A 15,703-nucleotide genomic window follows, 5' to 3' on the forward strand; every position below is an offset into this window, starting at 1 on the left:
ATATGTTCTGGCTATCCTTCGAAGTTCCTACTAATCTATTCCTTCCTTTTGAATTTACCCTCATTCAGAATTTAACAGCAGCCCTTCCTTTTCCACATCAGGACTATATACATAAGTCAAGCAATCTAAAGCTATGTTTTTCCCAATCTCCCAGAAACCTCACCAAACCCAGAAAAATAATAAAAAATTTTCAAAACTTATTTTTTCACATAAAGAATATGAAAAAGTGAAATAAAGATAATCCTCAATTCATTCTTGTAGATGAACTCACATTCAACAATAGAAGTGAAAGGCTCTTTCAGCATTCATCTAGCTGTATTTAATCAAGAAGAGAAAAAACACTGTCTAACAAGATTTCAGCAACTCCTAATTGTATTTGGAGTTCATCTGAAAATAATAAATAGCTGGCATAATAGATCTCAAATCTAAATTAAGAAATATTTTATGATTTAGCCTCATCCAAAGATGTTAGGTTCTAATTTTTAGAGGTATCTTCTCTAGATTTAAATGGGTTATCAGACAAGATGATTTTGGAGTCCTTTCAAACTGTGAGATGCTATGAATTCTCTTATTTAGCTTTCCTTGACCATTCCATCAACAGTAGCCGCTCCCTTTTCTGATCACCTTCACTAGGAACTGCCTAGGATGTTTGTGTTTATTTGCTATTTATATACCATCATGTTAGTTTCTATGTGTAATAGTTTTGTCTTCTCAAGTAGATAATAACGACAAAGACAAAATTATGACCTTTTAACACTTTTTGGTATCTAACTGGCATAATTTCTACATACCATTAAACACTGCCAAGTATGAGAAGGAAGAGCGTTTTCCCTCCCCACTATGCCAGAATCTACTTAAATGGGAGAAAACCCCTTTTTTGTTTTTATATTGTTTTTTAATATATTTGTTAGCCACCTAATATATATTCAGTCTTATGCTGTGGGCTAAAGATTGATCCCTGCTGCACAATGATTTTAATTAAGAGGATTCTGGTCTATGCCTTATTAGACAGATAATAGTATTCAGAAGAAACTTTAATTTCTTTTTAATGAGCCTAAATGAGTATTCTATTGCAGAGGGTGGGTGGGTTGAAGATTTATGGAGGAAGACAATGTATCAGATAAATAACATATGTTTTGTAGTTAGGGAAGGAGAAGTCAATTTCTGAGCTGTTATGAAGATAGAGGATGGAGGGCAGAATTCCTACACAGACTTTTAGTAAGCAAAATGAAAAATCAGTGTCTTGTTTTTCTTTAGCTGTTCTGACTGCTATTCTGCATGCAAAATTTTTCCTCTCTTCATCTCTGCTTCTCAGATTACTGAAAGTCAAACCAAATTCCTTCTCTAGTTGAGTCTAAGACTTTGCAAATGTACATATTAAAAACACTCTGCATTTCAACAGTGTTCCCTTTACTGGTGCCACATCAGAGACCATTGCCTGACTGTACAATGAATTGCCGATAATACAGCAGAATCTTTGTAATTTGACAAACTATGCTGCACAGATTCTTATGCAACCAGTATTCCATCCATATAAATCATTCCTGTGATAGGTAAGTTTTTTGGATACAGTTAGTTTCAAGTAAAAAGTATTATATTTTTATATTCAAAGAAAAAATCAATAAAGTTAATAATAAAAGTTCTTACATGAGTTGGTAATGAAGAGTGTTATCAGTTTCCATGCATAATTTGGCCACCTTGGATGTATTCACTTTATGGAGCCCTAGCAGAAGGCTATTTTTTTTCCATGCAATCTCTCTTTTTGGAGAGAAGATGATCTGTGTGTCCCTGGTGCATTAGGTCAAGGTTAGGAAATTAACTCGCAAGAAATTCCTCTATTTCTCATTTTTAGTTATGTTGCCCAGGCAGGACTCAAACTCCTGGGCTCAAACAATCCTCTCACCTCACCCTGCCAGGTAGCTGGAACTATAAACATGCACCACTGCACACAGCTCCCATTTTTGTTGTGTTATTTTTGTGATGTATGAATTTTTGTGAATACATTTGTTGTTCTTACTTTTATAGGGGTAGGATTTAGAAGCCATTTGAAGTGGAGAAATCACTTTTTAAATGCAGTTTTAAGCAAACATGGAATTTCCAAATTTTAAACAGTATTTTATAAAATAATATTTTATAAGAAGTTTTTATAGAGATGCTTTTGGAGAAAATGATTTTGTAGAAAATTATTATTGTTATTATTTTTTGAGACAGGATCTTGCTCTGTCCCCCAGGCTGGAGTACAGAAGCACAATCATAGCTCACTACTGCCTCAAACTCCTGGGCTCAACAATCCTCCCACCTCAGCCTCCCAAGTAGCTAGGACAACAGGCATGCACCACCACTGCTGCCTAATTTTTTCTTTTAATTTTTTGTAGAGACAGAGTCTCACTGTGTTGCTCATACTGGTCTCGAACTCCTGGGCTCAAGTGATCCTCCTGTCTCAACCTCCCAAATCACTGGGATTACAGGTGTGAGCTCCCATGCCTGGCCCTAGAAAATTATTTTTAAATTAATCTTCAATGTATTGAGTCTTATAGGATTATATAACATAACAGTTAAAGGCTGTTTGTGACCCCTAAAATTCATATGTTGAAATCCTAACCCACAATATGATGGTATTAGGAGGTGGAGTCTGTGGCAGCGATGAGGTTTAGGAGGGTGGAGCTTTCATGAATAGGATTAATGCCTTTATAAAAGAAACCCCAGAGACCTCTCTCTCTGTCTTTCAGCCACATGAGGATATGAGAAGATGGTAGTCTGCAACCCAGAAGAGGGCCCTCACCAGAACCCAACCATGCTGGCACTCTGATCTTGGACTTTAAGCCTCCAGAACTGTGAGCAATACATTTCTGTTGTTTATAAGCCATTGAGACTACATACAGTACGTTGTTACAAGAGCCAGAAATGACTAAGGCAGAAATGTATATAAAGTACATATATATACTTAAGGCACTCAAAAATCTAATCCCTTTACTTTCTGCCTGTGCCCTAATCTTTCTCCAATGGCAAAGCTTCCTCTATCCATGTAATATAATATTACCCTCTTGGTGTCAAAACAATACAAGTCTAATCAATTTTCCATGTTTAACCCTTTTAAAATATGAAGCCATTTTGATGGCCACAAAAGTTTTCTGTGTTCTAGGTTAAAAACATCTTTAGTCCTTCATATGCAGTAGTATCTTGTTAGAATGCTATTCTATTTTCTGTCCCCAAAGATATTCTGCTTCACTTATATTCCCTTGAACTGTGACACACAAAGCTAAATATAACATTCCAGATGTATTCCAAACAGAACAGAACAGGCCTATCACCTCGCTCATCCAGAAACTAGAGCAGTACTATTCATACAGCCTTGGCTTTTTTGAATAACCACATTGCAGTGCCTCCTCCACCTCCCCACATGCACTGCTTGTAAACTGTTCCAACCTCTACTTACAATTAGTTATTTAAGATATAAGAATAGAAATTTCACAATAACTCAAGATAAAATTTAATTCTATTAGATGAAGCCAGATTCAAAATTCTGTAAAGATCCCTCAGAATCTTGTTTCTGTTATTTATCATATTCATTTGCTATGAATGGAAATATAGTGAGCATACTCTTTAACATTTTGATTCTGATGGAAAAGCCAGTATTCAGCACAAAGGACCCTACCACACAATAGCAGCAATCTTCTGTTCTCACAGACTCATCTATCATTGTGCCTTATAATCAACCAGTTGTCTGTTGATCGGTCTTTTTATTCAATTCCTATTTCTTCACCTTGTATAAATACACTGACTAGGATGGCAATGATGTATAAAACAATGTTAAAAATGAAGAATAGTTACAAGAAGTGAATTACCTTCCAATTTGTAAATGCACCATCCACTTTTGCCTTCAGGCTTTGTAAACTCTGTCTTCTACCCACAACATGCCATCCCCAGAGCCCTGACCTTCATCAAACTCCTTTCTCTCAGCTAATACACCACTTTTTATAGGAAACCTTTGATCACTCAAACCTGGGTTAGATATTCCTCTTCTGAGATTCAGAAATACATTATGCTTTCTCTATTATAATACTCATTATTATAATTTCTTCTTGTCCTTAATACTCAACAAATTGCAAGCCTTAGGCAGCTTGCCATGAGTAGCATTATATAGGCCAAGCCTCAAGCAGCCAACCAATCCAGAGGTAAACATTCAGGACTGGAGCAAAAGGTTTGGTTACCCACCATTTCATAAGCTTTGGGGACTAATTCCATCATGCCTCATATCCATTTACCTCAGTGACTGAAGCCTAACCCTCTAACATGCATCATCCTCTAGCCAGTCATCCCCACATGCTCTCTGGATCTCCTAAGTGTGAGATCACAAATGTGTGGTCTACCAATATTTAGAAATTAGGAGAATTCACACAAACATCCAGGTTGTCAATATCTCTTAAAAAAACAATTATGGTTTGGTAAGATCAGGCCTATACTGCCCATGGAAATAAACATCTAGAGATTAACAGTAACTAACTCCCCTTAGACCTGCATTATCCTCTCTACACTCATTCTCATACCTGTTAAATTCCCGGAGTTAACTGAATATGCAAAACCTGTCCTAATAAAACCATTTCTACCCATGATCATGACTTCTTCTCCCATCTCTTCCACTAGGACCTCTGGAATCTCATTCTGAGATCATCAAACTTCTATATACCCTTCCACATGATACAATAAATATTTATTTTCATTCCAAAAAGAAAAAAAAACTTTCTACATTTTTAAAAACAATAATTCTGCCAAAAGTTAGGAAATACAGGGTGACTGCTAGGTCAAAATAAAACATAAAAGAACTCTTGAGCTAGTTAATTAAACAATTAAATAGTAGAAATATTAATAGCAATCCTAAATCATACTAACTGTATTTGTGCCATGGAAAAAAAATTTCTAAAGCCCAAGTGCCAATCTCAGGAGGAAGTAGCAATATGAGTAATCATGTAGTGACACGGTAGTCAACTCTAAAGGAGAAACATTGGCACTATATCAAATCACCAAACTAAACTAAATAATCCCAAAGTGATGTCCCAACATAGCAAACTACATAACAGTGCATTCATCATGACTTTGCATTACCACCACTAATCAGAACATCCTACAAAAAACAAAATAGTTATAGAAGAGAATAAATGACAATGTGTGAACAGGCAATTAGAGCACAGTTAACGCTCACTGATAGTTCTAAAGTATAGGAATGTGTGTGTTTGTAGATGTATGCAAGTGTGCATATATATATATATGCATATGTGTATATATGTGTGTGTACATATATGTATATGTGTATATATACATCACTGTTTATAAAATAATGTAACATTTAAATGAGTCAAAGATAAATTATCCATAATCCCATATCACTGTTAATATATAGGACCTCTATGGCTTTACTCTATCACTCCATCCTACATATATATATGGAGTGATATAGTAGTGTGTGTATATGTGTGTGTGTGTGTGTGTGTATATATATATATATATATATATATATATATATATAGAGAGAGAGAGAGAGAGAGAGAGAGAGAGAGAGAGAGAGAGAGAGAGAGAGAGAGAGAGAAAGACAAGGTCTTGCTCTGTCACCCAGGCTGGAGTACAATGGCACGATCACTGCTTACTGAAGCCTTGACTTCCTGGGCTCCAGTGCTCCGCCTACCTCAGCCTTCCAAGTAGCTGGGACTACAGGCATGCACCACCATGCCTAGCTAATATATGTATTTTTGATAGAAATGGGGTTTCGCCATGTTGTCCAGGCTTTCTCGAACTCCTAAGCTCAAGCAATCCACCCGCCTTGGCCTCCCAAAATGCTGAGATTACAAGCATGAGCCACCACGCCTGGCCCACCCCATCCAATCATAACGCTTAGCTGACACCAAACCTGTAAAAGAAAATGCACAAACACATGTACTTTGCAGGGGTTACATATTCATAACAGAATACAAGGATTATCAAATGCATGGTGATGCCAACATGAAAAGCAATTTAAAGTAAATTCCCAATGAATTAAAGAGTTATATAAAGAAGGAAAACACATACAAACCATTTTTTAAAGTATCAAATATAAATATACAAATAGAAAATCAAAAAAGTCAGAAAGATGAATAGGTGATGCTACATGAAAATGGATATAACTGATGATTTAAAAAGAAAAAAAAGCTAAGCACAACTTCCCAACAGAATAGAAGTATGAACATGGGAAATGAATACACAATTCACAAAGGAGGAATAGACCTAGTGGATAAACATGTGTTAAAACATTTAGACTTACTAATGATTAGAAATGCAAAATTTTAAAAACCTATGAAATTTTAAAAGACTGAAGAAAAGAATAATATCTGTTGGCAAGAGTACAATGAAAGAAGCTCTCTGAAAGAATCAGTAAAAATGTAAATGTAAAATATCAATTTGGAAAACTCCTTTTTAATGTGTAGGAAGAACCTTAGATGTGTCTATATTCTTTAATCCAATAACTCCATCTCTCAGAATCTATCCTAAAGAAATTATCTTAAATATGGAAATGGTTATGGTTATATAGTTGGTATTTTAATATTTTTTAAAACCTGGAAATAATATAACATCCAGCATTTAGTAAAAATAATTTACTGATACATACCATAATGACTCTCTAGATAATAACAAACATTCAATAAAAGTAATGTTTGCATGGGATAGATAGCAACATGAAAAATACTTATAAGTAAGTCTCAAACACTAGCTTCTCTCAATTTTTTTTTATTTTTTTATTTTTTGAGACAGTCTCCCAGGCTGGAGTACAGTGGCACAATCATGGCTCAGTGCAGTCTTGACCTCCTGGGCTCAGGCAATCCCCAAACCTCAGCCTCCCAAATAGCTGGGACTACAGGTTTGTGTCACCATTCCCAGCTAATTTGTTAATATTTGATAGAGTTTGAGTCTCAACTTCAGGCTGGTCTCAACTTCAAGGCCTCAAGCGATCGTCCCACCTCAGCCTCTCTAATTGTTGGATTTACAGGCATGAGCCACTGCACCCACCAGACACCAGTTTTCTTAATCTATACCTTGTGAACAAACTTCCTGAAACTAGAATGAACTTGTACACTTTCTGGTATACTCATTAACATTTTTGTTTTTTCTACTTTATATTATAGCATGTATTTCATTCTGACTCTTTTTACCACTCATTGCAAAATACAAATTCTGCCTTTGTGATCAAATATTAAGCAAGTTAACAAAAAGTATTCCGTCTGCCATCAGGTGGAGGCACGAGGATTCCAAATAGAGAAGCACATTCCTGGAGACCTCCAACCTCCTACCCCTATCCCAGGAACGGGGGAATAAATTAGGCAGGATCATACACTGTATGTTGTTGTTGTTGTTGTTGGAAGAAATTAGCCAGGATCACACAATGTATGTTGTTGTTGTTGTTGTTGGAAGAAATTAGGCAGGATCATACAATGTATGCTGTTGTTGTTGTTGTTGCTACTGCTGCTGCTGTTTTAATATCACTTCCCCCATGCCCTATATCCATCAAGATTTTGATGCCTCAGAGAGAACCCCTGGTGTAATTAAAACAAAATGGACTCTGGTCCATTCTAACTTTCCAACCTTCAATAAATTACTTTAGCTCCTAGAGCTTCAGCATGTTCACCTGTAAAAGAGAAAGAATAATATTTGCCTTATAGGTTTATCTAAACATTAAATTAGCAAACATAGGCACATATGTAAATACAGGTAAAACACCTGGAACAGTACCATGGAGCTGACTCAAATAAGGTTCACTTCCCCTTAATCAAACTGCTGAAGTGTCTAAGACAGTATAAGCTGATAAATAAAACAGGGTCTGTCCCATTAAATAACTTAAAGTTTTCTGAGAATAAAAATAAACTTTAAACAAGTAATCACACTAATAAATTTTGCATAAGATATTGCAATATGTACTATGAAGTAAAAGTTAACAGTGTTATGAAGTAGAGCAGGGATCTGACTTAGATTGCTGAGGATCAAGAAAGCTCCCTTTGGAAACATATTTAAGGTAAAATCTTTAAAATAAATAGGAGAGTAGGACAACGAAAATAAAAACGATCCAGATGGGAAAAAAAAAGAGCATGCGTGAAGGTCCAAAGACAGGCAAAACATTGGTAGCTTAAAAAAAGAAAGAAGAAAAGAAGAAGGCAGTGGTTGCAGCAAACTGAGCAAGTAGGAGAAAGACTCAAGAAGAGACTAGTAAGATACAGGCAGCTTTCATGTTGAGAAACTACAGCCCATGACTTAAAGCCAATCTATAGCCTGTATTTGTACAATCCTAGTGCTAAAAATGTTTTTTACATTTTGTAAGAGCTGTAAAAAATGCTAATGAAAAAACAGACTTTCATTTCAAGAAGACAGAATAGATGCACTTTTCCTCCTCTTCCCGCTAAGTACAACTAAAATACTGCAGCCCCATCATTACCCCACCAAAAACCAAGTAGGAAGCCAAGACTTCCAATGCCTCCAGGCTATAATTTGGTGCTCCAACACATCCCCACCTTAGGGATGGTGTCAGAAAGGGCAGAGTGGGGAGCTTGGATTTTACACACCAACAGAAAGTAACAAAGAAATCTTACATGGTGTCAACAGACATGTGATAGAATGGTAAGCAGAAATAGACAAATCCACACTTATAAATGGGGACTTCAGCACCTCCACCTCAACAACTGGTAGAACAATTAGGAAATCAACAAAGATATAGAAGAATTCACCAGTACCATCAAGCAACAAGATCTAAATGACATTCATAGAATAAGGTTCAAAAAAGGTTCACATCTCCTTAATCAAACTGCTGAAGTTTCAAACTTGTGCTGTCCTTATAACAACAGAAAAATACCCATTCTTTACAAGTATCAACAGAACATATAAAAAGATAGACCATATTATGGGCCACAAAACACATCTCAACAAATTTAAACAAATAGAAATCATAGGGTGTGATCTCTGAAAATAATGAATCTCCTACATGCTTGGAAACAAAAAAAAAAACTTCTAAATAATATATGGGTCAAGAAAACATCTCAAAAAAAGTAAAAATACATAGAACTGAATGAAAGTGAAAATAAACCAAACCAAAATTAGTAGGATATAGCTAATGCAAGGAGGAAATTTCTAGCACTACATGTATATACATTAGAAAACAGGAAAAGTCTCAAATCAATAATCTAAGCTTCTACCTCAAAAAACTAGAAAGAGAAAAGCAAAGTAATTCTAAAATACACAGAAGGAAGAAAATCATAAGGACAAAAACACAAATCAATTAAATTGAGAACAGGAAAATGTTAGAGAAAATCAATGAAACAAAAAGGTGGTTCTTTGAAAATATTAGTAAAATTGACAAACTTCAAACAAGACTGACAATGAAAAAAAGAGAAAAAATACAAATCAGGAATGAAACAATGGCTATCACCATGGGCTGTGCAGACATGAAAGGAATAATAAGGGAATGCTATGGTAGAAAAGACTCTACACATATAAATTTGACAAAGTAGATGAAATAGACCAATTCCTCAAAAACTACAAAGTACCACACCTTCCCCCAATATTAAATAGATAATTTGAATAGTCCTATAACTGGGAAGGAAATTGGATTTACTGAAAAATCTCCCCTTAAAAAATCTCCAGGTGCATATGGTTTCAATAGAGAATTCCACCAAACATTTTAAGAAGAATTAACACCAATTCTACACAATCTTTTCCAGAAAGCAGAAGAGGAAGGAATACCTCTCCAACTCATTTTATGAAGCACTGATGTCAAAACCAGACAAAGACAGTACTAAAATAGAAAACTACAAACCAATATCCTTCATGCATTTAGATAAAAATACCTTAGCAAAATACAAGTAAACAGAATTCAGCAATTTACAAAAGGAATTATACACCATGACCAAGTAGGGTTTATTCCAGGAATGGAAGGTTGCTTGACTATTTGAAAAATAAATTAATGTGATACATCATATTAACAGACTAAAGATACAACAGAAGAAAGGAAATCTAAAGAAGAAAAATGAGGCCAAGGCAGTAGGATTACTTGAGGCCAGAAGTTCAAGAAAAGCCTAAGCAACATAGGCTTAGGCTATAAGAAACAAAAAATTTCTTTAAAAAATTAGTCAGGTGCAGTGTCATGCATCTGCAGTTCCAGCTACTCAGGAGGCTGAGGCAGGAGGATGGCTTGACCTCAGGAGTTTGAGGCTGTAATGAGCTATCATCATGCCACTGCATTACAGCTAGGTGACAGTGAAACCATGTATTAAATATCTTTTAAAAATAAAGAAGACAAGAAGAGGAAGAGGAAGAAAAAAAGGGAAGGAAAAATGGAGGGAAGAAGGCAGGGAGGGAGGCAGGGAGGGAGGGAGGGAAGGAGGGAAGGAAGGAAGGAAGGAAGGAAGGAAGGAAGGAAGGAAGCAAGGAAGCAAGGAAGGGAGGGAAGATGAAGAAGAAGGAGAGGGAGGACGAGAAGAGGAGGGAGGAGGAAGAAGGAAGAAGAAGGAGGAGGAGGAAGAAAAAGATGAAGGAGGAGAAGGAGGAGGAGGAGGAGGAGAGAAAGAAGGAAGAAGAAGAGGCAGCGGCGGCAGCAGCCACAGTGCTAGAGAAAGAGGAAGAGGAAGAAAAAGCACCATATGATCAAATCAATTGATGCAGAAAAAAATGTTGACAAAATCCAACATCCATTCATGATACAAATTCTCAGAATACTAGAAATAGAGATGAATTTCCTTAACTTGATAAAATCTACAAAAACTTCATAGTAAATGGTTAAAGGCTGAATATTTTCCACCTAAGACAGGGAACAAAAAGATATGCATTCTAACCACTGCTATTCAATATAGTACGTACAATTCTAGCCACTGCAATGAGGCCAAAAAAAAGAAAAAGCACACATATCAGAAAAGAAAAAATAAAACTGTCTCTATTTACAAATGATATGATAACCTATGTAGATTATTCCAAGCAATCTACAAAAAAAAAAACTACTAGAACGAATAAATAAGTTCAGCAAAGTCACAGCATATAACATCGATAGCAAAAGACCAATTTCATTTGAACATGATACCAATGAGCATGTGGACACTGAAATTAAAAATACAATACCACTTATAAAAATTGTTAAAACAAAAAGATATACAAAGGTATAAACCTAACAAGTTATGTACAGAATGGACATGCTAAAAACAACAAAACACTGATGAAAGAAGTCAAAAACCAAAATGAAAAAAACATTGCATTCATGAATTGCGAGACTAAATATAGTAATAAATATGTCAATTCCAAAAAACGCCAAAAGCAATTGCAACAAAAGCAAAAATTGACAAATGGGATCTAATTAAACTAAACAGCTTCTGTACAAAAAGAAACTATCATCAGAGAGAAGAGACAACCTACAGAATGGGACAAAATTTTTGCAAACTATCCACCAATGAAGGTCAAATATACAGCATTTATGAGGAACTTAAACAAATTTACAAGAAAAAAACAAACAACTCCATTTAAAAGTGGGCAAAGGACATGAACAGAACCTATCCAAAGGTCTCATAGTCTGGCCAGGTGCAGTGGCTCGCACCTGTAATCCCAGCACTTTGGGAGGCAGAGGTGGGCAGATCACTTGAGGTCAGGAGTTTGAAACCAGCCTGGCCAACATGGCAAAACCCTGTATCTACAAAAAATTACAAAAATTAGCCAGGCATGGTGGCACTCGCCTTTAGTCCCAGCTACTGGGGAGGCTGAGGCATGAGGATAGCTTGAGCCCAGGAGGTGGAGGTTGCAGTCAGCCAAGATCACACCACTGCAGTACAGCCTGGGTGACACAGCAAGACTCTGTCTCAAAAAAAAAAAAAAACTGAAACCAAATGATAATGGAAATATAACATACCAAAACCTCTGGGATACAGCGAAAGTAGTACTAAGCAGAAAGTTTAGAGCAAAAGTAGTATATCAAAAAAGCAGGAAAACTTCCAACAAAAAAATCTAACCATGCATCTTAACCAGAAAAACAAGAGTGAATAAAACTCAAAATCAGTAGAAAATAAAAAATAAAAATCAAATCAAAGCAGAAATAAATGAACTTGAAACAAAGAAAACAATACAAACAATCAGTGAAAGGAAAACTTGGTTTTCTGAAAAGATAAAATCAACAAATCTTTAGCCTGACTAAGAAAAACAGAGAGAAGGTCCAAACAGATAAAATCAGAGAAGAAAAAGGAGACATTACAACCATTACGGCAGAAATTCAAAGGATCACTAGAGGCTACTATGAGCAACTATATGCTGATAAATTGGGAAAACTTAAAAGACATGGATACATTCCTAGATGCAAACAACTTACTAGGGTTGAACAATGAAGAAATCTAAAACCTGAACAGACCAGTAACAAGTAATGAGATGGAAGCTGTAATAAAAAGTGTCCTGGAGGGGAGTGCAGGATGGCCGACTAGATGCAACAAGGTGGCACAGCTCCTACCGAGGGACAAGACAACTGGTATAATCCAAACAGATCTTCTGAGAGAAGGTACCGAGAGTGAACAGAGGGAAAGACACAGAAGCTAGGCTGGAGGGACAGAAAGCTGGGAACCCTACATGAGGCTGCAGCATACCCGGACTCGTTCCTGGCCCACAATAGCCCCAGGAGAATGGGTGAGTTGAACTGGCAAGGAGCAACCTGTTCTCATCATGGGTCTCTGGAACCCCGGCAGGAGGAGATGCCTCAACCACCACAGACACTCGAGTTGGCAGCGAGAGCTGCTTAGAGAAGTGGTAGGGGCAGCAAGCCAGCTCATGTGGAGCCTAGAGGGTTTGGTGCAAGAGTGTCTGTAGTGGAGCATGGCCAAGAATAGCCATCCCCCTAGGCTCAACGTGCTTCCATAGGAGACTTTAGCCCTAGGGGTCCTGAACTCTGCAGGGTTGTCTTGCCCATCAGACAGGGCCAGACCAACATGAGCACCCCTTGGTCAGCTGCCCTCTTCCAGCCTGGCCACGCCTCCTTGCAGGGCAACCTCAGGTGCCCTGGGGGCATGTACCATAGCTTCTACACTGGCAGACAGTGCCTTACCAGGGAAGAGCTTGAGTAGGGCAGCCCCTGTGACCATGCACTATCTCACAGTCTCCCTCCCCATACTGCAGCTTCCTCTGGGCCCACAGCAGCTCCCCACATTGCTTTGCTGGTGGTGTCTGCACAGGCGGGTTTTGCTTTCCTTGCCACAACAGCACACCTGAGTACAGTGTTCCCCCTGCCAACCAGGTTTCAGATGGAGTCTTGGCAGACAGAGTGAGACAGCCCTGACCCCACTAGTGCCCCATCCTTACACTAACACTGCGAAGAGAATGGCACATCCTTCCCTATGCTGGGTGACCACTCCTGCTTCCTGGGCACAGAGAAGGCACCCAGAAATGCACCTGCCAGCACCCTGCCCCTGATCCAACACCACCTCCGGCATGACTGCACAAAGTTGCCATCAAGGGCCCCGTACACCCCCAAACTGCATTGCCTCTGCCACTGTGGTGAATGCCGGCATGGAGGCAGACACCCTGGCACCCACTAGCAGTTTGCCACAGCTTCCACTACTGCTGCTGCTGCCATCCATGTGCAAACAAGGACAAATCCCACTGTCACTGCACTACCAAACGTTATGGTTGACACCACTTATCACAGTGTAGTGACCAGCAGTCTGGGAGCACATAAGGACCCCTTACCAACACAGTGGATTCCTAACCTTGAGAAGCCAGAGAAAAAAGTTAGAGCCCAATACAAGTCCCCCAGAATTAGAGTACATAGTCCAGGAGTTGGGAGCTAAGTGTTGGCCCCCTAAAATCTTCCAGAAACAAAGCCAGTCGGCTGAATCCACCTTATACCACAATCGTATTCTCAAAGTCATCAATAGATTAAAGGAAAAAAACCTATCCAAAGGTCAGCAAGCTCAAGGATTAAAGGAAGATAAGCCAACAAGGATGAGAAAGAATCAGCACAAGAGGCCTGACAACTCAAAAAGCCAGCGTGCTTTCTTTCCTCCAAACAATGGCACCACCTCTCAAGCGAGGGTTCTGATCGGGGCTGAGATGGCTGAAATGACAAAAACAGAATTCAGAATATGGATAGGAATGAAGATCATTGAGCTACAGGAGTATGTTGAAATTCAATCTAAGGAAGCTAAAAATCATGGAAAAAAGAATGCAGGAGCCAAGAGACAAAACAGCCAGTATAGAAAAGATGGTAACTGAACTCATAGAGCTGAAAAACACACTATAAGAATTTCACAATGCAATCACAATTATTAATATCAAAATGAACTAAGCAGAGGAAAGAATCTCAGAGCTTGAAGATTGGCTTTCTGAAATAAGACAGACAAGAATAGAGAAAAAAGAATGAAAAGGAATAAACAAAACCTCTAAGAAATACGGGATTATGTAAAGAGACCAAATCTACAACTCTTTGGTGTCCTGAAAGAGATAGGGAGAAAGGAACCAACTCAGAAAACGTATTTCAGGATACATCCATGAGAACGTCCCCAACCTAGCTGGAGAGGCCAGCATTCAAATTCAGGAAATGCAGAGAACCTCAGTAAGACACTTCACAAGAAGATCATGCCCAAGACACATAATCATCAGATTCTCCAAGGTTGAAATGAAAGAAAAAATAAAGGCAGCTGGAGAGAAAAGGTCACCTACAAAGGGAAGCCTATCAGACTAACAGCACACATCTCAGCAGAAACCATATAAGCCAGAAGAGATTCTTCTTAAAGAATGTTGAATATTGGCCCCCAATATTGAATGTTGAATGCAATGACACACTCAGGCTCAAAATAAAGGGATGGAGAAAAATCTGCCAAGCAAATAGAAAACAAAAAAGCAGGGGTTACAAACCTAGTTTCAGACAAAACAGACTTTAAACCAACAAAGATCAAAAAAGACAAAGAAGGACATTACATAATGGCAAAGATTTCAACTCAAGGAGAAGATCTAACTCTCCTAAATATATATGCACCCAACACAGGATTAGCCAGATTCATAAAGCAAGTGCTTAAAGGCCTTCAAAGACACTTAGATTCCCACACAATAATAGTGGAAGACTTTAACATCCCGCTGACAATATTTGACAGATTATCAAGACAGAAAATTAGCAAAGACAGGAAGTCTGTTCCAAGATGGCCGAATAGGAGCAGCTCCAGTCTGCAGCTCCGAGCGTGATCAACAGAGAAGACGGTGATTTTTGCATTTCCAACTGAGGTACCTGGTTCATCTAATTGGGACTGGTTGGACAGTGGGTGCAGCTCAGAGAGGGCGAGCTGAAGCAGGGCGGGGCATCGCCTCACCTGGGGCACAAGGGGTCAGGGGATTTCCCTTTCCTAGCCAAGGGAAGCCGTGACAGACTGTACCTGGAAAATCAGGCCACTCCCACCCAAATACTGTGCTTTTCCAACAGTCTTAGCAAACGGCACACCAGGAGATTTTATCCCACGCCTGGATTGGTGGGTCCCCCACCCACGAAGCCTTGCTCACTGCTAGTGCAGCAGTCTGAGATCAACCTGCAAGGCAGCAACCTGGCAACGGGAGGGGTATCCACCATTGCTGAGGCTTGAGTAGGTAAACAAAGCAGCCAGGGAAGCTCAAACTGGGCAGAGCCCACTGCAGCTCTGCAAGGCTTGCTGTGTGTATAGACCCCACCTCTGGGAGCAGGGCATAG

At 38.4% G+C, this 15,703-nt stretch overlaps 1 protein-coding gene across 11 annotated transcripts in view, besides 2 other annotated features; it reads right to left on the minus strand.

Moving 5' to 3' along the window:
- The window catches only part of EXOC6B (exocyst complex component 6B), a 650,050-nt gene that overhangs the window by 449,955 nt on the left and 184,392 nt on the right, over positions 1-15,703 (minus strand). The window lies entirely within an intron of this gene.
- Positions 12,503-13,232: an enhancer, noted in NCBI's record as "H3K4me1 hESC enhancer chr2:72865570-72866299 (GRCh37/hg19 assembly coordinates)". NCBI's record gives its function as "activates a minimal SCP1, AML or CMV promoter by ChIP-STARR-seq in naive H9 embryonic stem cells {active_cell/tissue: H9 hESC(naive)}" and the evidence as "EXISTENCE:reporter gene assay evidence [ECO:0000049][PMID:30033119]".
- Positions 13,233-13,961: an enhancer, noted in NCBI's record as "H3K4me1 hESC enhancer chr2:72866300-72867028 (GRCh37/hg19 assembly coordinates)". NCBI's record gives its function as "activates a minimal SCP1, AML or CMV promoter by ChIP-STARR-seq in naive H9 embryonic stem cells {active_cell/tissue: H9 hESC(naive)}" and the evidence as "EXISTENCE:reporter gene assay evidence [ECO:0000049][PMID:30033119]".

Source organism: Homo sapiens, chromosome 2 (genome assembly GCF_000001405.40).
Source record: "Homo sapiens chromosome 2, GRCh38.p14 Primary Assembly".
Taxonomy (NCBI): domain Eukaryota; kingdom Metazoa; phylum Chordata; class Mammalia; order Primates; family Hominidae; genus Homo; species Homo sapiens.